The sequence below is a fragment of the Homo sapiens genome, chromosome 1, assembly GCF_000001405.40.
Source record: "Homo sapiens chromosome 1, GRCh38.p14 Primary Assembly".
NCBI lineage: Eukaryota > Metazoa > Chordata > Mammalia > Primates > Hominidae > Homo > Homo sapiens.
Genome location: NC_000001.11, coordinates 247,413,602 through 247,438,181, shown reverse-complemented (window position 1 = coordinate 247,438,181; position 24,580 = coordinate 247,413,602). Strand labels below are relative to the sequence as shown.

Genomic DNA, 24,580 nt, shown 5'->3' with positions numbered 1-24,580 from the left:
TGTACGACCTATAAGGACCCAGCCTGCTGATGCCTCAGTCTCAGACTTTGGCCTCCTGAACTGAGAGGCAATAAACTCTTGTTGTTTAGGCCGCTCTGTTTGTGATACTTTATTACAGCAGCTCTACCAGGTTAGGTATTGACAATAGTAACTACATAGAGCATATTACAGATGCATCAGGCACATTTGTAATTGGCTTGTTTGTCATGTGGAATTTGGAACCAGGATCACTGAGAGTCACCTGAGTGCCTACGCCTGGGCCTCTTCGGTTCCATCTGCTTTGCCTGGAGGGCTCTTCCGGCTCCTTCACAGCCCATCCCACGCTTCACTGAGCACCTGCTCCAATGTCACCCGCTCGGAGAGGCACTCGCCAAACGTGAGCAGAGAAGCACCCCTCGCCGTCACTCCAGTTTTTCTTATAGCTCTTATACACAGGGTATATTGTTTAGCATGTCTATTATCTGTTATCACTTCCCTAAAAGAACGGTTGTGAAAACAGGATTTTGGTCTGTTTTACTCACTGCTGCTGTCAGTGCCCACCACAGAGCCCCCAGAGGGCCTGCAAAATGAAGGGACAAAATCATGTCTGTTGAACAAACTTAGAGAAGCAGAAGTCAAATTGCCAAGGAAGAGTAATATTCTAAGGCGATTTGCTAAGGAAGGGTAATACCCTAAGGCGAGGAAATGAAGGCACTGCAGGAAGACTTCATAGAAAGAGATATGGTCACATCTGAGGATTGGCTGATGGGAGAGGTCCAAGGAAGTATCAGAGCTTTGTGAACAGAGGTTGGTTGTTAATTATGGATTAGTGGATTACTCCTCTGGGAAGACCTTTCCTGCCAAATTTTGTCTTGAATGCTGATCTGGCTGGTATATATATTAATAATGTGAATGAATGAAGACCTATCCAATTTGCTTATTGTATTTGTAGATATTATTGTCAGAATGAAGATTCAAAACTGCCTAGTCAATGGGTCAAAAGACAGGTAAGATGAGGTTTAGCAAAGCTAAATTGGAGGTCCCACCCTTAAGCTGAGAGCCAGATGAAGAAGCCCTGTAGAGAGCCCATTAGCAACATCTCCTAAGGCAATGCACTGGGAATTAAGGCAGTGGCTTGGGAGGTCACAGACGTTTGTCTACACTGAGTTCCACTACCTTCTCTCTGAGTGTCCTTGGACAAAGTTATGAGGCTCCCTGAATTTTATTTTCTCCTCTTTAAATTGGAGACACAGATACCCTACCCTATAGCATCTTTCTGAAGCCAACTGAGAAAATCCATGTAAGAACATGAAAGAGCAGGTGATACAGGGAAAGTGATACAGGAAAGTGGTACAGGGAAAGTGCATGATTATTAGTGGGTATTCCCTACTACTGTTTACTGCAGAATTCCAACATGAATCAAAAGGCTTATGTAACTGCCAAAAAAAACAAGGAAATCAGAGATTCCACCAGTGAAACCATAGTTCTCTGCAACAGGAGGTAAAACATCCACCATGCATCATCAGGTCTGGGCACCACATTTCAAAGACAGACACTAACAAACCAGCCTGTGTACCTGGGAGAGCATGGCTACATAGGTGAAGGTGCTGAGCCATGACACTGTTGAGGATATAGAGGCTGCAGTGTAAGAGTCCTCTCCTAGTGTAGAGGCTGCAGGGTGAGAGCTCTTTCCTAGTGTAGAGGCTGCATGCACTATGCGATAACTTGCATGCTTGCAAGCATGCACACATAAAATGGGTGACTATTCATGTGAGTGTCTTGGAAGCAAGTTTTTCCCTCAACAGGCAATTGGGCTGCACCATCTCTAAGGTTTCTTCCAACACTAAGAAACTCTAGTTCTATAATCATAAATTAGCATAAATTATCTTATTAGCAGCAGTATACATTATATGCCTCCAGTCCTTCAAAGCATTTCTGATGTTTTTACCTCCTTACTCTACCTTCAGCTCTGCCTGACCAAAGTAACCCCCATCCACATTTTCCAAATAATTCACCTCTGAAAAGAAGTTACTTTTCTGGTAAGACACCCATGAAGACTTACCCCAGTTTCTGCAGGTTACACTGTGGATTCTTGGCTTTTTCACATAAAATTGCGACTCCTGAGTCTCCCAAGGCATTCTCCCCCACATAGAGTCTGGTCAGGGAATGGCTGGTGCTCAATACTGATGCAAGATCCTGACAACATGCTGATGTGAGGCAGCAGCTGACCAACCTTCCATAGAGATGGCAGAATGTCAGTCATGTCTCTCACCCACGCTCCACCATGGACAAGGAAGCACCCGTACCTGCCACTGCCTCTACTCCAGTTTACACATGGAAAGGGAGTGGACACAAGCTCTATGTACACTTCTGATTTCCTTTTCCATTTGGTGGAATAACAAGTAAGCATTCTCCAAGCTCCCACCAATACTACATCTTCCCAGCTCCCTACATTCAGCTTTATTGTGGTAAAATACGTGTAAAATAAAATTTACCATTTTAACCATTTTTAAGTGCACAATTAATGGCCTTAAGCACTTCACATTGTTGTGCAACCATCACCACCACCATCTCCAGAACTCCTTTCATCTTGCAGAACTGAAACTCCATAACCATTAAACAATGTCTTCCCACTCTCCGCCCTCCCATTGCCTGCAACCACGTTTCTTCCTGTCTCTATGAATCTGTCTGTTCTAGACACCTCCTATAAGGACAATCAGAGTATTTGCCCTTTCGAGTCTAGCTTATCTTACTTAGCATAATGTCCCCGAGGCTCATCCATGTTGTAGTGTGTACTAGAATTCTTTTTAAAGCTGAATGTACATATATAGCACTTTTCAACACCCTTCATCCGTTGAAGGACGTTTGGTTATTTCCACCTTTTGGCTATTTCTAATAGTGTTGCTATGGACATAGATGTACAAATAACATGTTTGAGTTCCTGCCTTCTGTTTTTTTTAATGCTTCCTCTGTCACCCAGGCGGGAGTACAGTGACGGGATCTTGACTCACTGCAACCCCCGCCTCCCAGGTTCAAAAGATTCTCTTGCCTCCACCCCGAGTAACTGGGATTACAGGCATGCACCACCATGCCTGGCTAATTTTTGTATTTTTAGTAGAGACAAGGTTTTACTATGATGGCCAGGCTAGTCTCGAACTCCCGACCTCCAGTGATCCACCTGCCTCAGCCTCCCAAAATGCTGGGATTACAGGTGTGAGCCACCGCTCCTGGCTGAGTTCCTGCTTTGAACTCTTTTGCAGATATACCCAGCAGTGGAAATGCTGGCTCCAGTAGTAATTCTGTATTTATTTTTTAGGAATTGCTGTGCTGTTTTCCATAGTGGCTGCATCATTTACATTCCCACCAGCAACACACAATGGCTTCCATTTCTCCGCACCCACACCAATACTTGTTGTTTTCTAGTTTTCTTGCTTTTGTTTGATAATAGCCATCCTAATGGGTGAGAAATGGCCCTTCCATTTTTAAGTGGTTTTTTCTCTCCTTCAAAATGCAAGTCTCCCAGAAGCACTCAGGGAAGGGCTGCATACAACATCGAGGGTCTGCATTGCTTTAGCACCATTTTTCTTATACAATATGAGGACCCAGGGCTTGTCATGAAGTTCTAAAACTCCTCTAAAGCAATGCATTACACTGATTTTTTCTTTTTGTCAGCTAGGCAGTAGGCACCCTAAAGGCAGACATCTTCTTTTTGTTATTATTTATGCTCCTTGTCAGGGTTGAGTGTGTGGCTTTCCCCACGACAAACACTCACTGACCGCAATGCTAGACACCCCAAGACAAGCACACGCAGTCACCCGAGCCGCCAAGGCCATTCTCACTCAAACCCCAGCCCACCGGGCCTCACTGAAGCCAGAGTGCGCAGCACGCCTCGCTGGCAGAACTTCCTTAGGGGAACGGGCTCGACTCACCAGAGCTTCTTCAGATTGCACAACAGGTGCTTCAGTCCCACACACAGAAGTCTGATTCCGAAGTCACCGAGGGCGTTGTCACTCAGGTCCAGCTCCACCAGCTTCTGGTTGCTGCTGAGGACCAAGGAGATGTCGAAGCAGCACTCATGCGAGAGGCCACAGCGCCCCAACCTTCATGCCAAGAACAGAGGCAGAAAGCATCAGAACACACCTGACCAGAGAGCTCCAGAACAGAGGAAGCATCAGGACACACCTGATCAGGAAGCTCCGGAATAGAGAAAGCATCAGAACACATCTGATCAGAGAGCTCCGGAATACAGAAAGCATCAGAACACACCTGACCAGAGAGCTCCGGAATAGAGAAAGCATCAGAACACATCTGACCAGAGAGCTCCAGAATAGAGAAAGCATCAGGACACACCTGACAAGAGAGCTCTGGAATAGAGAAAGCATCAGGACACACCTGACCAGAGAGCTCTGGAATAGAGAATGCATCAGGACACACCTGACCAGAGAGCTCCGGAATAGAGAAAGCATCAGGACACACCTGACCAGAGAGCTCCGGAATAGAGAAAGCATCAGGACACACCTGACCAGAGAGCTCTGGAATAGAGAAAGCATCAGGACACACCTGACCAGAGAGCTCTGGAATAGAGAAAGCATCAGAATACACCTGACCAGAGAGCTCCGGAATACAGCACAAGGCACATTGGGAGGTCAGCCCCCAGTCTCCCCAGTCACAGCAGAGGGATCACCTGTCAGTGAACTCCCGGCCGTAAACAGTGCCGGGTGCATTGAGATCACCCCCCAGACATGTGAATGGTGCGCTCCTGGTTTGTAAGTGAAGCGGGCGGTGTGGGCCTGTGCACCCACCTCCTTCCCTCGTGTTCCTAACCATTGACGTGCCCGCAGTCGGCACTGCCCTCGCCAGTGCTGCACTCAGCTATTTCTTGTCTTCACCAACATTGTCACCCCATTGTGTTTGACGATTTCATCCCAGCCCTCCATCTATATTGAAAGGAAAAGCAGCTCTGATTCTTTTTCTTTTCTTTTCTTTTCTTTTTTTAAAGACAGGGTCTCACTTTGTTGCACAGGCTGGAGTGCACTGGCGAGATCATAGCTCACTGCCACCTCGAACTCCTGGGCTCAAGGGATCCACCTGCCTCAGCCTCCCAAGTGGCTGCAAATACAGGCATGTGCTACCATGCTTAGCCATTTTATTTTATTTATATTTTATTTTTATTATTATTATTATCTTCTAAAGACAAGGTCTCACCAGCTTGCTCAGGCTGGTTTTGAACTCCTGGGCTCAGGTGATCTGCCCACCTCAGCCTCTCAAAGTGCTGGGATTCCACATCCCGCTGCAGCTCTGATTCTTGATTAGTTTCCCCGTCACACACATGCACACAAACACACACGCACATCACTACCACCGTCACCACCACCACCAGCAACAAAAACTATACTTTATCCCTGTCATGGGGGCAAGAACAACATTCTAGCTTCTTTCCAGGGCAATAGTTCATAGGTCCTGGAGCCTGTTAGACCACCTTCCTTTCTGTCCCTATCCTTACACCAACTTCAAGCAAATGGACAAATGGATCTCTACTTCTCTGCGAAGCATCTCACTGTCCCCTACCCTTCCCTGTTTGTGTCTGCCTCTCCAGAATCATACAGGGGCAATGGCAGTGGGGAGAGAATTTGGGCATGAAGTTGGAGAAATAAGGTTAAATGTCCCAAACAACCAGTCTCCATGGCACTACGATTTGAAATTTACCAAAAGAGCAAAGATGAAGAGTGTGATCTATATACATAATGGAATACTGCTCAGCCATAGAAAAGAATGAAGTCACATCTTTGAAGCCACACAGATGGAACTGGAGGCCATTACCTTAAGTGAAACAACTCAGAAACAGAGTCAAATACCACACGTTCTCACTTACAAGTGGGAGCTAAACAAAGGGTAACATCCATAGAGCATGGAATGATAGACACTAGAGCCTCAGAAGGGTGGGAGGGTGGGAGCCAGGTGAGGGCTGGAAAATTATTTATTGGGTACAATGTTCACTATTTGGGTAAGAGTTACACTAAGGCCGGGCACGGTGGCTCACGCCTGTAATCCCAGCACTTTGGGAGGCCGAGGCGGGTGGATCACGAGGTCAGGAGTTTGAGACCAGCCTAGCCAATACGGTGAAACCTTGTCCCTACTAAAAATACAAAAATCAGCTGGGCGTGGTGGCCCATGCCTGTAATCCCAACTACTCGAAGAATTGCTTGAACCCAGGAGGTGGATGTTGCAGTGAGCCGAGATCACTCCACTGTACTCCAGCCTGGGCAACACGGCGAGAGTCCATCTCAAAAAAAAAGGGGTAGTTACAGTAAAAGCCCAGACACTACCACTGTGCAGTAACATATCCATGAAACAAAGCTGCTCTTGCGCCCCCTACATCTACAAAAATAAATACATAAAGTAAAAAATAAAGAGCAGAGCAGACAGAAAGCATTTAAGCCACCGAACAGCACAATCGAATCAGAATTTTCTAAAGGACCATCTTACTTTTGTGCAGAGAATGGTCGGGTGAGGGAAAAAGGCAGACACAGGGAGACCAAAGAGCCAACATTCATTCAGTGCGTGCTTTTGACCACTGATGGGTACTAAGATGTCTGTCCAGGCGTGGCAAAGATGACAGCAAGACAAACAAACGCAAACCCCATCCCCGGGGAGCTGATGGTCTAGGAGGTCACTGCGTGTCCAGGCAAGTGGTGACAGTTGCTGGACCTGGGCTGGTGGGGTGAGGACGAGGAAAAGTGGAAAACAGCTCGGGTAGGAGGAAAAATTGATAAGACTGGTGACAAGGTGAGTGTGTTGAGCCGGAGAGGGAGGTAGCAAAATGTCCTAGAGTGGCGGACTTTAACACTTGCTGTGCAGCTCCTCAAAAATGCAGACGCCTGCATGCGTCCACAGAGCAGGGAATGAAACAGAGCTAGTGAGGCGGCCCAGGCACCAGCGCGGTGGGGCGTGTGAATCTGATTCATGGTGTGGGAGAAAGCAAGCACATTTTTTATTATTATTATTATTATTATTATTTTGAAATGGAATCTCGCTCTGTCACCCAGGCTGGAGTGCAATGGCACGATCTCGGCTCACTGCCATCTCCGCCTCCCGGGTACACACAGTTCTCCTGCCTCAGCCTCCCGAGTAGCTGGGACTACAGGTGTGAGCAAGCACATTATTAATAAAGTCACAGGAGATTCCCTGTGACATTTCAACCCATACAAAGCATTCTGACCAGGCTGGGCAACGTGATGAGACCACATCTCTACAAAAAAAATACAAAAATTAGCCAGCATGGTGGTGCATGCCTGTAGTCCCAGCTACTCGGGGGAGCTGAGGTGGGAGGATTGCTTGAGCCTGGGAGGTCGAGGCTGCAGTAAGCTGTGATCACACACTCCAGCCTGGGTGACAGAGAGAGGTCCTGTCTCAAAGAAAAAAAAAAAAAGTATTTTCATAGTTTTTAGGTGAGGTTGCCATTGTTGTAAATGGCAAATTCTCCAACTCTCATCTATGAACATGGCCCATGAGGAAATGGAATATATCGAGCATCATGGTTGTTTCAAGAAATGACTTTTTTTTTAGTTCCTCATTCATTCTTCCCCACACAAAACTTCCCCAGCTGGCCTCCAACCCATTCTACCTTCTCACTTGTTCTGGGCTGAACTGTGCCCCCCCAAAAATTTACATGTTGAAGCCCTAATCCTCAAGACCTCATAATGTGGCTGTTTTGGGAAATGGGGTCTTTAAAGGAGTGACTAGATTAACATTAGGTCTTGTGTAGTCATGCCTGACTGTGCCTAATCCATCAGGACTGCTGTCCCTGTAAGAAGAGGAGACTAGGCCACTCTTCCCCCCAAGGCAAGATGGCATCAGTACACAGGGAGAAGGGGGCATCTACAAACCAAGGAGGGCGGCCTCAGAAGAAACCAACCCTGCTGACACCTTGATCTTAGACTTTCGGCCTCAGAACTGCAAGAAAATGAATTTTTGTTGTTGAAGCCATTCAGTCTGTGGCACTTTGTTACAGCAGAAACCACACCACCGGCCGGGTGCGGTGGCTCATGCCTGTAATCCCAGCATTTTGGGAGGCCGAGGCGGGCGGATCACCTGAGGTCAGGACTTCGAGACTAGCCTGGACAACATGATGAAACCCCATCTCTACTAAAAATACAAAAAATTAGCTGGGTATGGTGGTGGGTGCCTGTAATCCCAGCTACTCAGGAGGCTGAGGCAGGAGAATCACTTGAACCCAGGAGGCAGAGATTGCAGTGAGCCGAGGTCACGGCATTGCACTCCAGCCTGGGCAATAAGAGCAAAACTCTGCCTCAAAAAAAGAAAAAAAGAAAAAGAAAAGAAAGAAACCACACCAGCAACCTGGTCCTGAAGATCTTTCTCCAGTCTGTTTCTCTCTCTCTCTCTCATATGAACTTGCACTCACACAGATCACATGCACGGGGACTCACCACAATCTCCGAATGTTACAGCCAGGATGCTGGAGCGTTTCACACAACACTCTCATCCCTGGGTCCCCCAGAGAATTGTCACTGAGGTCCAATTCAGTTAGACTCTGGCTGGTGCTCAGAACTGAAAAGAGGCCCCGGCAAAAACTGGAAGTGAGGTGGCTGTTCACCAATCTAGGAATTAGAAGGAAGACAGACAGAAAAGAAATCAGCCTCGAATAATAACTAACTGGAGCTGGGGGCCGGGGTGCCTGGCACCAGTTCAGAGAAATGCCTTCCGGGGATTAAGAAATGGGTCACGAAACCAAAAATTGTTCCCAGAGAAATGAAGAGGGCTGGATGAGCCTTGGTAAAAGCAGTTCTGCCTCCTCTCGGACGGAGAGCATGAGCCTGTGACTGTGGCGGACTGTGGCACCCTACAGCCTGCTCCCCAGTGTCCTCCTCTCGCCCTTACCAGTCCACTGTCCCAACATGGCCCTGAACGTTCTGTGCTGGGTGATCAGAGGGCAGTCCTCACTCCTGGCTACACAACAGCATCAGGAGTGCTCACAAAAATCCTCAGGCCAGGCTGGGCATGGTGGCTCACACCTGTAATCCCAGCACTTTGGGAGGCCGAGGCGGGCAGATCACCTGAGGTCAGGAGTTCAAGATCAGCCTGGCCAACATGGTGAAACCCTCTCTCTACTAAAAATACAAAAATTAATTGGGTGTGGTGGCACGAGCCTGTCATCCCAGCTATTAGGGAGGCTGAGGCAGGAGAATCACTTGAACCTGGGAGGTGGAAGTTGCAGTGAGCCAAGATCATGCCACAGCACTCCAGCCTGGGCAACAGAGCAAGACTTCATCTCAAAAAAAAAAAAAAGAAAAAGAAAATCGCAAGCCCAGGCCACATCCATGGAAATAAAATCAGAAGCTCTGAGGTGGAACTAGATGAATTTTTTAAATTTTTTTTCAGATGAAACCCAAGCTGGAATGCAGTGCCATGATCATAGCTCACTGCAGCCTCAAACTCCTGGGCTCAAGCAATCCTCTTGCCTCAGCCTCCCGAGTAGCTGAGGTTACAGGCACGAGTCACTGTGTCCAGCTATATGGATCTTTTTTATTTAAAAAAAGCCAGGTGGCTCCAACATGCAGTCACATTTTTGCTTTTGTTTTTCTGTAGAGAGGTGCTCTCACTTTGCTGCTCAGGTAGGACTTGAATTCCTGGCTTCAAGCAATCCCCCCATCTTGGCCTCCCAAAACCTAGGATTACAGGCAAGAGCCACTGCACCCACACATGCAGTCACCTTTGAATCACCTGTAGCTCTCATTCAAATGCAAAGTCTAGCTCTCTAGGTCTAAGATTGGGTCCACAATCCTGCATTTCTAATAGATGCTCAGGCTTCTGGTTCTCAGAAGGGACTGGAACATACAAAGCAAGCTCCTGCCCTCAGAGTAAGGCAGCTGCCATCTAGAAAGATGGGTGCTGAGCCCCCTACCAGGGCTCCAGTCAGAGTCTGTCCTCAGAGTAAGGCAGGTGCCATCTAGAGGGATGGGTGCTGAGCCCCCTACCAGGGCTCCCGTCAGAGTCTGTCCTCAGAGTAAGGCAGGTGCCATCTAGAGGGATGGGTGCTGAGCCCCCTACCAGGGTTCCAGTCAGAGTCTGTCCTGAGGAAGGAAGGTGCTATCTAGAGAAATGGGTGCTGAGCCTCCTACCGGGGCTTCAGTGAGAGTCTGTCCTCAGAGGAAGGAAGGTGCTATCTAGAGAAATGGGTGCTGAGCCCCCTGCCAGGGCTCCAATCAGAGTCTGTCCTCAGAGGAAGGAAGGTGCTATCTAGAGAAATGGTTGCTGAGCCTCCTACCGGGGCTTCAGTGAGAGTCTGTCCTCAGAGTAAGGCAGGTGCCATCTAGAGGGATGGGTGCTGAGCCCCCTGCCAGGGCTCCAATCAGAGTCTGTCCTCAGAGGAAGGAAGGTGCTATCTAGAGAAATGGGTGCTGAGCCTCCTACCGGGGCTTCAGTGAGAGTCTGTCCTCAGAGGAAGGAAGGTGCTATCTAGAGAAATGGGTGCTGAGCCCCCTGCCAGGGCTCCAATCAGAGTCTGTCCTCAGAGGAAGGAAGGTGCTATCTAGAGAAATGGGTGCTGAGCCTCCTACCGGGGCTTCAGTGAGAGTCTGTCCTCAGAGTAAGGCAGGTGCCATCTAGAGGGATGGGTGCTGAGCCCCCTACCAGGGCTCCAGTCAGAATCTGTCCTCAGAGGAAGGAAGGTGCTATCTAGAGAAATGGGTGCTGAGCCTCCTACCGGGGCTTCAGTGAGAGTGTGCAAACCTTCCTCACAGATGTGTGATCTTCATAAGGTCTCCCTGCCCTCTCCACCTTCCACCTCACTCTTAATGAGTAGTTCTGCCTACTTTTCTCTCTGTCTTACTCTTCTTCTCCCATTTCTATGGTCTGAATGTTTGTGTGCCCCAAAATCCATACGCTGAAATCCTAACCCTCAACATGACGTATCAGGCGATGGGGCCTTTGAGGTGTGGTTAAGTTATGAGGGTGGAGCCCTCAGGAGTGGGATTGCTGTCCTTAGGAAAGGGACCCCAGAGAGCTGCCTTGCCTCTTCACCATGTAAGGACACAGTGAGAAGGCACCATCGACCAGGGAACAGGCCCTCACCAAACACCAGATCTGCCAGAGCCTGGATCATGGACTTCCCAGCCTCCAGAACCGTAAGGTGAACCTTCCTTTTGCTTATAAGCCAACCAGCCTGCAGTGTTTTGTTATGGCAACCTGATGAATGAAGACAACTGTCTTTTTTCCAGTCACTCGGAACTGTTTGCTGCCGTAGAAACCGTACCCTGCTTTCCCACACCTGCCCTCTCTCTCAACACCGTAAGCCCCCAGCCTGGCTGCCCCTTTCCTTCTCTCACTCTCTCACTGCCCATCCTCCGGAAGCTGGCTGAGCGGGGACACCCACCCGTGCCCCGCTGGTGAACAGGTTCGTCCCCTTGTGCTTTGGATACTCTGCAAGTTTCCTTGTCAGAGCCCATGACCCCCTCCCCGACATCTGCACTTGTTTCCGGACTGTCCCACAGCCAGACCTCAAGTCCCTGTGACCAGGACCTGGGTCTTCACCACCACTGCGGCCCTGTGGGCAGTCAGTCCTTCATGGCCAAACCATGACTAGGAAGGTGGTCCTGGTCATGGTAATGTCAACGGATCAAGAAAGCTGAAACTCATTGTTGCCTGTGGAAGGGCCAAGCCTCCTGTTTCCCTTAATTTTGCCCCACGTCAAGTGTCTTCTATCCAGGCTAAACTCACACATCACAGGGTGGCCACCTTCCTACAACCACTGTGGGTGGTCCTTCTGCAGGAGGCACTGAACGATAAACCCAAAAGGGACTCAGAAGTCAGGTGACTCAACCACTTCATTGCACAGACTTGGCCACTAGCTTCCAACCACCCAGCAAGTGTGTGAACAGACCCGAAAACGGGGTTTTGGCAATGCCCAGTGCAGAGCAACATGGGGGCCTAGAAAGAGGGTCTCCACATTTCTGCTCTATTTCCCTTGATTTACCTTCATCATGTTTTTTTCCAAGGAAACTGTGTCTCTCTCCACTGTCACCTGCACACACTTTTTCTCAGACTGCATTCATGATTTGGCTCATACCAGTCTTCAGTGCAGAATTCCTTTAATTTCTTCTCTATGCGCCCAGGTCCCACCATTCCTTAAAGGAGGCTTAGATTGCACATTTCTAAGAAACATCCCCCCAGCCTCCAGCTCTGAGGCCCTCTGTCCCCTCGCTCCTGGGACACAGACTCTCTGGCATTGTTCTGCCCCACAGACATTGACTGACTCTTAGGCACTAGTGCTCCAAGTAGCTTACAAGAAATTTCAGTTGACAAATATTTGTAGGCAATCCTACATCCTACTTAATACCTTGTGCTAAACTGGCATTCCCCAAACATTTGTTCCTTGTTTTATTTTTTTTTTCCTCATCCCATTTATCCACCTACCATACATCAATCTTTGCTCATGAAGGAGTCTCAAACAGACAGTGGTGGCATTATGATGTAGCTGTGGCAACAGTATTTGGAAGATAGTTGAAAAGAGATGAGAGGAGGCAAGCGCCAAGAAGAAGCTGGCGAGGAAGCAGGAGGAAGCACCTGGAAGCCGAGTTTCCTTACCCATGAGAACAGGCAGCATGAGAGGAGCTTGGGAGGACACACTGCACCATATCAAGGTGTCGGCCTTCCTTTTCCTCCTCCTCTTCCTCCTTGGGCATGTTATGGAGAAACCCCAGGGACAGTGACTCCACCCGATGACAGTTCTCAATGCAAAAGGAAGAAACCATGTGGTCCATTCTGGTGGAGAGATTGATCTCAATCTTGGGGAAATAGTCCATGGCCCTTTGCACGAAGTCCTCCTCCTGCATCTCGTACAAACAGTAGAACAATTCCAGCTGGCTGGGCTGGATCTGCAGCTTTTTAGCTTTGGCTTTCACTTCAATCCATTTCAGCAGCTCCAGCCTGATTTGCTGAGAGATCTTGCAACTTAATTTCTTCTCCAAGTAGGAGGTCCTCTCCTGGTTTACCAGGCCAAAGAGGAAACGTACAACAAAAATCAAATACCCCTTTTCGAATTTGCCATAGTTTTCCAGAAGGACTGTCACGTCTCGGCTGGGAAGCTTCAAACGACTCCCTGGAACGTTCGTCCTTCCTTCCTTTTCCTCTTCCAGCAGGTAGTACATGGCGGCAAAGAACTCCTGGAAAGTCATGTGGATGAAGCTGTAGAACTTCTCGCAGTCCACTTCCTTTTGGAACAGGTTCATCCTCAGGAAAGCAGACACATCCGCCTTCTGCAGTCCATGATTCCTGAGGTCGGACTCCTCAAACAGGATTTTCTGGTTCCAGATTCCATCTGCAGCCAAAGAGCAGAGCCCCCAGAGGTGGGCGCAGAGGCCGTGCTCCTGGCTCCCTCCCCGGGGCTGCAGCAAACTGGAAAGGAAGAAGACGTACACCGCGGTGGTGGTCTTGGATGTCTGGGCAAGGCTCTTGCCACTCTCCATCTGCTGTTTCAGTCCAGTGCACACGATCCAGCAGACCAGGGGGATGAAGCACATGGTGAAGAGGACCTCGTTCTCCTGAATCAGACTGAAGGCTGCCCTGGCTTGGGCCTCATCAGAGAAGTACTTGAAGAAGTACTCTTTCCTTTTGGCCTCGGAGAAACCCAGGATCTCCACATGCCGAGGATGGTCCAGCAAGTGCTGCAGTTTCTCCAGGGCCACAGGTCTCGTGGTGATGAGCAGAGAGGCCTCGGGAAGCAGCTTCTTTCTGATGAGGCTGCTCAGGAGAATGTCTCCCCGCTCGGCCTTCTGCCAGTCAGTGCAGAGCGGTCCTATGTGCTCGTCAAAGGCACCTTGCAGCTCATCGAAGCCGTCCATGAGGAAGAGGATTCTGGAGGGTTTTCTCACGATCTTGTGGATGGGTGGGTTTGGGTCGGGGCAGCAGCTCATGATCAGGTCCCCCAGGCTCCTCTGTGTCACAAGGCTCACCTCTCGACAGTGGATATAGAACAGATAGTCAAACCTGTCTTGGTAGAGTGTCCCCGACGCCCAGTCCAACATCATCTTCCTGGCCAGGATTGTTTTCCCAATCCCTGCCGCCCCCTGGAACACCACGGTGTGCACAGGCTCAGAATGCTCATCATCGGGGTCAAACAGCAACTCCATCTTAATGGGACTCACGGGGCTCTCACACGTCTTGGTCTTGCCGATGGCCAGAAGCTCCTGCTCCCTCTCCTGCTGGCTCCGGTGCTCCTTGATGAGACGCAGTCGTGTGTAGCGTTTGTTGAGGCTCACACTCTCACCCAGACGGGCATTCCTGTCTTCAATGCACTGGAATCTGCTTCTCACGTACTTTCTGTACTTCTTACGGTAATCTACGGCAAAGACAGGAAGTTAGGGGGAAAGTATACACACATCCACCTGAGATGCGCTCTCAGCTGGGGCCTGTCATCGGAAGCGAGTGGTAACCGGAATGGAGAAATGGAAGGTGCAGCTCCTCCCCACTGGGTAGGAAAGGTGCCGAGAATCTCTGGTGTCAAGTTTTTAAGATACACAGCTGAGCAGAAGGCCCATCTCTATGTGTAGCTACCAGCCCAAAGATCATTTGAATCAATCTTATTCCTTTAAGTAATCTGCATCCTATGCCTTATCAAACTTGAAACGCTTAATCACCGCCGCTGGCTCTGGGACTGCAAGAGCCACACAAACATGAATTTGTTTCTTCAACTGACAATGGATTTCCTGAGACAGGCCTTTGCATTCCAAAGAGCAGGAACCTATAGTATGGCCAAGTTACCCAGCTGCTCAGCTTCCCAGAGCCTCCTGAACCAGGTCTTAAAACTCAACTAGAAGCACCACCCCAGTCGCTTACCTTTCTTCATTTTACAAATAGAGATTCTCGAAAGGTACTCCAGTAAACCCATCCACTCCTCTTCAATGCTGTCTTCCTGGCATATCACAGTGGGATTCGAAACACGTGCATTATCTGAACCTAAAAGGGAAAAAAAAGGTGTCAAAACCCAGAACTATTATCACAGAGGATGCAATTGAAACCTGGCCTAATATTTGGCATGAGAGAGGAGACCCCAAACATCCCCCAAATCAAAACATGGCTCTGAGTTGCAGAGGACAGGTATCCAGTCAAAAGTCTGGTTGGGAGCATTTCTGCACTCCTAGTTTCAAAACAACTTCTGCTGTCCACCTGCCAAGCATGTGTTCCCACTGTCCCCAGTCTCAGAATCTCTTCCTCAGGCCTGGAAATCAATCAGCAAACATGCGAAGCAGGCTAAGTTTCTTTTACCCTCGTTTGCTTTTGCCTGCCCCTGGCAGCCTGATTGTGAGGGCATCTCCAAGCTCTCCTATATCCCCAACACGGCTGTGGGCTAAGAAAGGTCACCCTTCCCTGACCGCAGTTCCCTGCAATCCATTTTACACACGTCTTCTATTGTCAAGTCTAGATGTCTGGTTCTTCAAGAGTGAGAACGACCAGTCTATTTCGTGCCTAATCTAGTGGTTGGGAATCCTGGCTGACTTTAGAATCACCCAGGAAGCTTTAAAAATATGGACTTCAGGACTGCACGCCCAGAGGTTCTTTTTCAGTCCCTCTGAGGTGAGGCCCAGGAACCATCACATACTAAAAGCTCCCAGGTGATTCCAACATGCATCTGTGTTGAGAATCACAAATCCAAACAGTCACTAGATAGCATATCTTAAGAAGGCATTCTATAGGAGAAATTCAGGTTAGGTAAAACAAGAGTTAGTCACTAGGGGAAATATATAAGACAGATAACTTCAGGTGGGCAGGAATCTACAAGTAACATAAATGATTTTTTTTTTTTTTTTGAGACAGGGCCTCACTCTATTGCCCAGGCTGGAGTGCAATGACACAATCATGGCTCCCTGCAGCCTCAACCTCCTGGGCTCAAGTGATCCTCCCACCTCAGCCTCCAGAACAGCTGGGACTATTGACACGTGCCACCACACCTAACTAATGTTTGCATTTTTTGTAGAGACAGGTTCTCACTATGTTGCCCAGGCTGGTCTCAAACTCCTGGGCTCAAGCAATCCTCCCATCTTGGCCTCCTGAAGTGCTGGGATTACAGGCATAAGCCACTGCGCCCAGCCCATAAAAGACCTCTGACAGCTGTCTACTTGGTAACCATATCACAAAATAAAATCCAAAAAATCTAAGCCAAAACCAAAATCTTATTCTTTTTTTTTAAGAGACAGAGTCTTGCTTTGTTTCCAAAGCTGGAGGGCAGTGGCATGGTCATAGCTCACTCCAGCCTGGAACTCCTGAGCTCAAGTGATGCACCCACTTCAGCCACCTGAGTAACTGGGACTCAGGTAGGAGCCATGACAGTAAATTAGCCAAAGTCTATTACCTAAAACCTAACCCCACCCCAGGAAACAAACAAACAAACTTCTAACCCTAGTTATAACTTTTCTGCCTCAAAATCCAGATATGGAAGCAAAGACGGTGTAGTGGTTAAGAGCCAGGCTTTGATCAGAGACATGCCCTGCTTTTTACCCCAGCTCTGGTTATGGCTAGAAATAAACCATGGGCCAGTTAGGATCTCTTCCAGGCTCACCTCATTCACTTGCAGGAGGGATAATACCAGAAGCTGTTTCATGGGTTTCTTGAATGTGCCATAAAATCCATAAAAACTGCTTAGCAAAGTACTTCTACAGTTGTGATTATGACACTTTCATTTGGGTATGTGAGTATATAAGTACTGACACAATGATAATTGCTTTATTTACTTAGAGATGAGGTCTCCCTATGTTGCTCAGGCTGGTTTTGAGCTCCTGGGCTCAAGCGATCCTCCTGCCTTAGCCTCCTGAGTAGCTGGGACTACAGGTGAGAGCCATTGCAGCAACTGGTTTCTGACCTCCCCCGGCTGCACACTGCTGTCTGTTTCCCCAGTGTCATTACACCCACACTGCTGCCCTGCCTTAACATGTGTCTCCCTATCCACTGACTCATTTGTACTCCTCCTTCCCATCACCACCAGCTCTACATCATCATCCTGCAATACCCTGCCCTTCTCTGAGCCCTACCTTTGCCTAGAACACAAGACAAAAGAAAGAACCTTATCCCCAATGTGTACATGGGGATTAAGAGAATTTCTTTTACATTCCAATTCCCAAAGTGGTGGTGAAAGGAAAGGCTTCTGCCCCAAACTCCACGGTTCTTCAAGGAGAGAGGCTGCCCTCTGGGCCATAGGAAGCAGAGGCCCAAGCCTGCTGACCACACAGCAGATACTGGACAAAACATGTGGTCTGAGAAGCTGGATGGAGAATTGGAGGCAGGTCTAGGCACTGCTGAGATTCAGATAAAGAGGGACTAATCATGGCAGGTGCCCAGGGGGTAGGTACAGTCTGCATCAGCTTTTTAAAGGAGTTAGAGAAAGCAAACAGTTTGCCTCCACCTTCTCATAGCACTACCGTGAGAGGGGAAAAGAGAAAAAACCAAGACAATACAAGAAAAAAAAATTTTTTTTTGAAACAGGGTCTTGCTCTTTAGCCCAGGCTGGAGTGCCGTGGTGCAATCTCAGCTCACTGCAACCTCCACTCCCCATGTTCAAGCAATTCTCCTACCTCAGCCTCCTGAGTAGCTGGGATTACAGGTGCCCACCACCACACCCGGCTAATTTTTTTTGTATTTTTAGTAGAGATGGGGTTTTGCCATGTTGGCCAGGCTGGTGTTGAACTCCTGACCTCAGGTGATCCACCCACCTCAGCCTCACAAAGTGCTGGAATTACAGGCATGAGCCACCATGCCCGGCCATGATTTAAAAAAAAAAAAATCATACTAACTTCTGTGCATCAAAGGACACAGTTAACCAAATGAAAAGACAACCCACAGAATAGGAGAAAATATTTGTAAATCATATATCTGATATGGGGTTAATATCTAGAATACATAAAGAACTCCTACAAGGCAACAACAAAAGCCAAACCTGGTCTGAAAATGAGAAAAGAACTTGAACAGAACTTTCTCTGAAGAAGCTCTATAAATGGCCAACAAGCAGTGAAAATGTGCTCAGCATCACTTATCATTAGGGAAACGGAAATCAAAACTACAGTGAGATACCACCTCACACTCATTAGAATGGCTACTATAAAAAAGAAAAAATAAATAAAAATAACGTGTTCTTAGGATATGGAGAAATTGGAACCCTTGTGTGCTGTTGGTGGGAAATGGTGCAGATGGTATCTAAAACAGTAGAGCAGTTCTTCAAAATATTTAACAGAATTACCGTATGATTCAGAAATTTCACTTCTGAGTATATACCCCAGAGAATTCAAAGCAGGGTCTTGAAGAGATATTTGTGCACCAACACTCATAACAGCATTAACAATAACAAAAAGGTAGAAGTAATCCAGGTGTTCATCAACAGATAACTAAACAAAATTTGGTATATGGTACCATGGAGTATTTATACAGTCTTTTTTAAAGGAAGGGAATTCCGACACATGCTACAACATAGTTGAACCCGGAGGACATTATGCTGAGTGAAATAAACTACTCATAAAGGAAAAAATGCTGTATGTTTCCACTTATATGAGGTACCCAGAGTAGTAAGATTCACAGAGATGGCAAATAGAATGGTGGTTACCAGGGCTGGGAGAATGAGGCAATGAGGAGTTATCATTCAATGGGTGAGGAGTTTCAGTTTTGCAAGATGAAAACAGTTCTGGAGACTGGTTGCACAATGTGAGTGTACCTAACACTACTGAACTGTACATTTAAAAATTATTACGGCCGGGCGCGGTGGCTCACACCTGTAATTCCAGCACTTTGCGAGGCCGAGGCGGGTGGATCACCTGAGGTCGGGAGTTTGAGACCAACCTGACCAACATGGAGAAACCCCATCTCTACTAAAAATACAAAATTAGCCGGGCGTGGAGGTGCAATGCCTGTAATCCCAGCTACTTGGGAGGCTGAGGCAGGAAAATCGCTTGAACCCGGGAGGTGGAGGTTGCAGTGAGCCAAGATCTCACCATTGCACTCCAGCCTGGGCAACAAGAGCAACTCCGTCTCAAAAAAAAATATATATATATATATATATAAAGATGGAAAATTGTACACTATGTGCACTTGGCCACAATTTTTTTTAAAAGTCTTCCTTCCACTCACCCCACTTCGGCTCATCTCTTTTTGCTTTCTCATAAAGGTCTCTCCTGTTGATCGCAGCGAAGATCCACACGGCCATGGCCCACGCCTTCTCCTCCCCATTGAAGTCGATCATTAGCGTGGCTAGATCCACATGGTCTGCCTTCTCTGTCTGACCCCTCGGGAGGGGGATGCAGCCCTTCTGGGGAGGATAGTCCTCTAAGTGCATCTTAAATTTCTTCAAGTCCACATCCTCCAGGTCCTCCAGGTACCTGGCCAGCTTGCAGCGGGTGCTTGCCATCTTCATCTGCAGCTGTTTTCAGGGTCCTTAGGCTTCGGTCCACACTAAGATACCAGGCAGTGAACACGGCACACGGATGAGTCTTTTTTAAAGTCTCCACTTTGAGAGATATAAATTATCAAAAACTCAGCAAACAGAAAGAAAAAAATGTCACATGACTGTAACAAGTCAAAATCTTTAATTTTGAAAAGTTAGCCAAGGCCGGGCACAGTGGCTCACGCCTGTAATCCCAGCACTTTGAGAGGCCAAGGCAGGCAGATCACCTGAGCTGAGGAATTCAAGACCAGCCTGGCCAACATGGCAAAACTGTGTCTCTACTAAAAGTACAAAAATGAGCCGGGTGTGGTGGCGGGCGCCTGTAATCCCAGCTACTCAGGAAGTTGAGGTAGGAGAATTGATTGAACCCGGGAAGTGGAGGCTGCAGTGAGCCAAGATCACGCCACTGCACTCCAGCCTAGGCGACACAGCAAGACTCCATCTCAAAAAAAAAAAAGTTAGCCAAATGCTTACCAGAAAGTTCTCCTGTTGGCTCGATCCAGGAGTGTGTCCTGAGCCATGGAAGAAAGGTTTCCCTATGGAGGGAAAAATATGCAAACAAATCCATAAACAGGATTGTATTACAGTTTACGGTGAACAACCACTTCACGATGCCATCTTGACCCATCAGCAAGAAAATTTTTGTCCCGTTGATTACGGGGCTATGACATTGGACAAACTCTTCACTATTCCTCAACTTCAGTTTCCTCATCTACAAAATGAGAAAGCAGAAGAGAATGTTTTCAGTTCCTCCAAACTGAAGGCTCTGGCTCTTTGCTTCTGTTTTTGTGAGGGAAGAGGGATGAGAGACAATAGAAGGAGAAGGCCAGGAGGTGAGTAAGTGTGTTGATAACAGAACAGGACGTGGCTAGGGAGAGAGGAGAGAGAACATAAAAGCTTGCAGAGGAGGGGACAGTCTTTGACTGCACTTCTATCAACCAGTGGATTGAAGTGAGATGAAGCTGGGAGTGCATAATGGAGAATAATAAAAACATACATCCCTGTAATCCCAGCACTTTGGGAGGCCGAGGTGGGCGGATCACCTGAGGTCAGGAGTTGGAGACCAGGCTCACCAAACAACAGGGAGAAATCCCGTCTCTACTAAAAATACAAAAATTAACCGGGCATGGTACCAGGCACCTGTAATCCCAGCTACTCGGGAGGCTGAGGCAGGAGAATCGCTTGAACCCAGGAGGCGGAGGTTGCGATGAGCCAAGATCACACCACTGCACTCCAGCCTGGGCAATAAGAGCAAAACTCCATCTCAAAAAATAAAATAGAATAAAATAAAATAAATAAAAACATACATCCTTTAATGTCTCCTTGCAAAATTCGCAATTGTTATCATTATAATTCACATTAATTTAGAGCTTTCCACAGGCTAGGCACTCACTGATGTTTTTCCCCATCTAACCTGCACAGAGCTCTATGAGGTGCACCTATTCCTAGCCCCATTTTATAGATGCATAAACTGAGTCTTAGGGGGACTAGGAAGCCTGCCGAGGGGTTTAGAACCAGGAAGGAACAGAGCCAGGATTTTGACCAGAGATATGAGACCATGTCTTCCATCACTTGTTTCAGTCAGACAAAGACAAAGACAACAAAATAGATGACTAAAAGACACACTTCCCCAGCATTTATCACAGGTGTATCACTGCAGCATTCACCAACATAGTCTTCCCAACTAGACTGTGAGTTCCACAAAAACTAGCAATCACCTGCTGTATCTTTAGATCTTCCATATCTCCTAGAGTCCGGATGGATGAACAAGTTGGCTTTGTTTGGAATTGTTCCCTCCTTGATCCCTTGATTATACTCTATTTGGCAAAGCACCTCAACCTAAAGCCATAAATAACACTCAAGGGAGGCAGAGAGCCTGGAAAACGGTGGAGCTCTCCAAATTGGAATTTCTGTGACTGCAGTTCAATGTCAAGATGCCTCAGACTCACTCATCTCTCCCGTCCCATCTCCATTCCTGCCTATCTACTCCTCGCCTCCTGAGCCCTGCAAACCCAGCCCTGTGCATCCTGAGGTGACTGCTCTCCAGACAGCCCTATTAGCTCCGCATACCCTCCCAGCTCCTGCCCATCCTGAGGTGACTGCTCTCCAGACAGCCCTATTAGCTCCGCATACCCTCCCAGCTCCTGCCCCATCAGTCCTTCCATCTGCATCAGGATTCTGCCTTTCTTCTGTGCTCCTTCCACCCTAACACCAGCACAAAAATCTGCTGCCCTTTGGTCTTTAAGGAGGTTTGTTTCCTTCTGTATATCCCATCCATCTTCTCCCCTGGGAGGGATACTGGGCAAATCTGCTGAAGTCGTGGGTGTAAACTATGGTTGCTGCCGCTGTCCTCCCCGCTTCCCCCCGCCACATACACACACACGAACTTGCACACGTAGAGCCCAAATAATGATAAAAGAACATTCCAGAAATGTTGTTGAAGCACAACCTTGGAGACGCCAGAAGAAATTCCTAGTGCATTAACCAGGACAAGTTCTGCCCTCTGAACACAATCTCCCCCACTGCTCTCCCGGTCCTGTCGCCCACACTGCCCCGCGGAGCTGGACTTACCCAGATGCCAGCCTCAGGAACAGCTAGAGAGGAAATGCAATGAATTTATAGCAGTCGCAGCCCCAGAAGGGGCAGGAAGGATGTGGTCTCCACTTACATCAGAGCAGAGGCAGAGAGACTAATGGTTAATCACATAGCTGGATTTTCCAAATGGGATCAACAGTGTTGTCAAAACCGTGTCTCGGTTCCATACTGGGGTTCACCTTGCTCTCCTCTGAGGCACCCCACAGAAGCAGGGTGGGAGGCCAGTATGAGATGGGGCTGGGGGTCAAATCGGCAGTGCTAAATGGATGTTGCCTCTGACACTGCCCGCTGCAACGGCTCCACTGAGAGTGAGGGAAGTGAAACTAAGGACATGCCATGCGAGTGAGTAAAGAATCCAGAGCATGACCTGACCCAGCCTTCAAACTCCAGAGTCCATGCCCTGTCCTCTCACAGCAAGATGGCTGGAAGGCAGTACAGGTTCTCTCCGACATGTTCTACTTTTAAAGCACAAATTTTACTCCCTGACTCATTGACTCACCTGTTCCACTAACACTCACGGAATGGCTGGTATGTGGCAGGCATGCACACAAAGCCTCAGCTTGAGTAGCTTGAGGAGAGACACACACAGACCTACTCTGCAGCTCATGAGACGGCCGCAGGACCACAGACCGGCAAAGGCACAAGTTCAACAGAGCTTGGTGGGTGAGAGGCACTCGCTCAGCCTCTGGGTGAGTGAAAAGGACGAGCACCCAGTTCAGTGGAGGGATGTCAGCAAATGACTGGGTCTGTCTGTGCCTCATACCTGTAAAAGGGTGACAATAATTGCCTGCTACTTCTTTAGATCTTCCAAATCTCCTAGACTCAGGATGGATGAACAAGTGGTTTTGCTTGGAATTGCCCCCTCCTTGATCCCTTCATTATACTGCATTTGACCAAGCACTACATCAACCCAAATAACGGTACCTATCCTAGAAGGCTGTCAGAAAACACTGAGTGAATGGCTAAACGTGAGGCCTTTAAAACAGAGCCTGGCACAGAGAAGCTAGAATAAGCAGTTGGTTCCGATGACTACCACCTTTCTACAGAACTGCAGAGAGAATGCTCTACAACATGAGAGAGGCATCTAGTCCTGCTTAGGGGCATGACAGCAGACCTGAGTCTCCATGAACCAGGTGAAAGGTGTCATTCGGGGCTGGAGCTGAGGCAGGAGCAGCAAAAACTTCAGGTGCTGAAGCTAGAGAGAAAGCAGACCAAATATGCTCCAAAAGAAAGGAGCTCAGCCTGGGTGCAGTGGCTCATGCCTGTAATCCCAGCACTTTGAGAGGCCAAGGCAGGCAGATCACAAGGTCAGGAGTTTGAGACCAGCCTGGCCAACATGACGAAACCCCATCTCTACTAAAAATATAAAAAAAAATAGCTGGGTGTGGTGGCGGGCACCTGTAATCCCAGCTACTCAGGAAGCTGAGGCAAGAGAATCACTTGAACCTGGGAGGTGGAGGCTGCAGTGAGCTGAGATTGTGCCACTGCACTCCAGCCTGGGTGACAAGAGCAAGACTCCATTTCAAAAAAAAAAAAAGGAGCTCATTGGCTGAACCTGGGATCTTTTTGTTTTTGTTTGTTTAGTCAAGTTAATTTAGGTATAATTCAGCCGGGCGCAGTGGCTCACGCCTGTAATCCCAGCTCTCAGGGAGGCAAGAGGCGGGAGGATAGCTTGAGCCCAGGAGTTCGAGACCTGCCTGGGCAATATAGTGAGACCCCATTCTCCAGAAAAAGGAAAAAAAAAAGACAAATTTAGGTATAATTCATATGCAGTAAAAATCCATGCCTTTATAAAAACAGACCCATAGACCAGTGGAACAGAAATAAACTCAAGTATATGCAGTCAACTAATTCTTTGACAAGGTCACCAAGAAGACACAATGGAGAAAGGACAATCTCTTCAATAAAGATGTTGGCTATAGAAGTGTGAAAAAAAAATCAAGAAAAATATAAGATTTTGAAAAATTAAGCTTTTGGTGAAACTGGATTTCCACACGCAAAAGAATAAAACTTGGCACACACAAAAACCAACTCAAAATGGATTAAAGATCTAAACATAAGATCTAAAACTGTAAAACTCCTAGAAGAAAATAGAGAAGAAGCCAGGCATGGTGGCTCATGCCTGTAATCCCAGCACTCTGGGAGGCTGAGGCAGGAGGATCACCTGAGGCCAGAAGTTCACAGTCAGCCTGGGCAACATAGTGAGACTTTGTGTCTACAAAATTAAAAAAAAAAAAATTAGCCAGGCATGGTGCTGTGCACCTGTAGCCCAGCTACTCAGGAGGCCGAGGCAAGAAGATCACTTGAGCCCAGGAATTTGAGGTTACAGTGAGCTATAATGACACTACTGCATTCCAGCCTGGGTAACAGAATGAGACCCAATCTCTAAACAGATAAAAAACTAAATATAAAAAATAGAAAACAGAGGAGAAAACTTCTTGATATTAGCCTTGGCATGGATATTTTTAATGTCTCAACAAAAGCAAAGGAACAAAAGTAAAGATAAATAAGTGGGAATACATCAAAGTAAAAAGCTCCTGTATAGCAAAAGAAACAATCAACAGAGTG

The 24,580-nt window shown here is 47.7% G+C and overlaps 1 protein-coding gene across 20 annotated transcripts in view, besides 2 other annotated features; it reads right to left on the bottom strand.

Annotated features, from left to right (window-relative positions):
* NLRP3 (NLR family pyrin domain containing 3) overlaps positions 1-22,105 on the bottom strand; it is a 32,741-nt gene extending 10,636 nt beyond the window's left edge. For 2 of the 20 annotated variants that reach the window (NM_001243133.2, NM_004895.5), the window contains exons 1-7: positions 21,989-22,009; positions 19,105-20,129; positions 14,833-14,952; positions 12,583-14,335; positions 8,427-8,597; positions 3,909-4,079; positions 2,042-2,212 (exon numbers count right to left, since the gene is read on the bottom strand). In NM_001243133.2, the coding sequence (NP_001230062.1) occupies positions 2,042-2,212; positions 3,909-4,079; positions 8,427-8,597; positions 12,583-14,335; positions 14,833-14,952; positions 19,105-19,381 (2,663 nt within the window). In that variant the 5' untranslated portion in view covers positions 19,382-20,129; positions 21,989-22,009. Of the gene's footprint in view, positions 1-2,041; positions 2,213-3,908; positions 4,080-8,426; positions 8,598-12,582; positions 14,336-14,832; positions 14,953-19,104; positions 20,130-21,135; positions 21,770-21,866; positions 22,010-22,085 lie in introns of those variants that run through there. The other 18 variants (XM_047443539.1, XM_047443533.1, XM_017000181.2 and 15 more) reach the window with 18 other exon arrangements.
* Positions 2,685-2,794: an enhancer, noted in NCBI's record as "active region_2869". NCBI's record gives its function as "activates an Ori minimal core promoter by ATAC-STARR-seq in GM12878 lymphoblastoid cells {active_cell/tissue: GM12878}" and the evidence as "EXISTENCE:reporter gene assay evidence [ECO:0000049][PMID:35858748]".
* Positions 13,976-14,139: a silencer, noted in NCBI's record as "fragment chr1:247587345-247587508 (GRCh37/hg19 assembly coordinates)". NCBI's record gives its function as "represses an EF-1alpha promoter that drives an FKBP-Casp9 reporter gene in an ReSE screen in HepG2 liver carcinoma cells {active_cell/tissue: HepG2}" and the evidence as "EXISTENCE:reporter gene assay evidence [ECO:0000049][PMID:32094911]".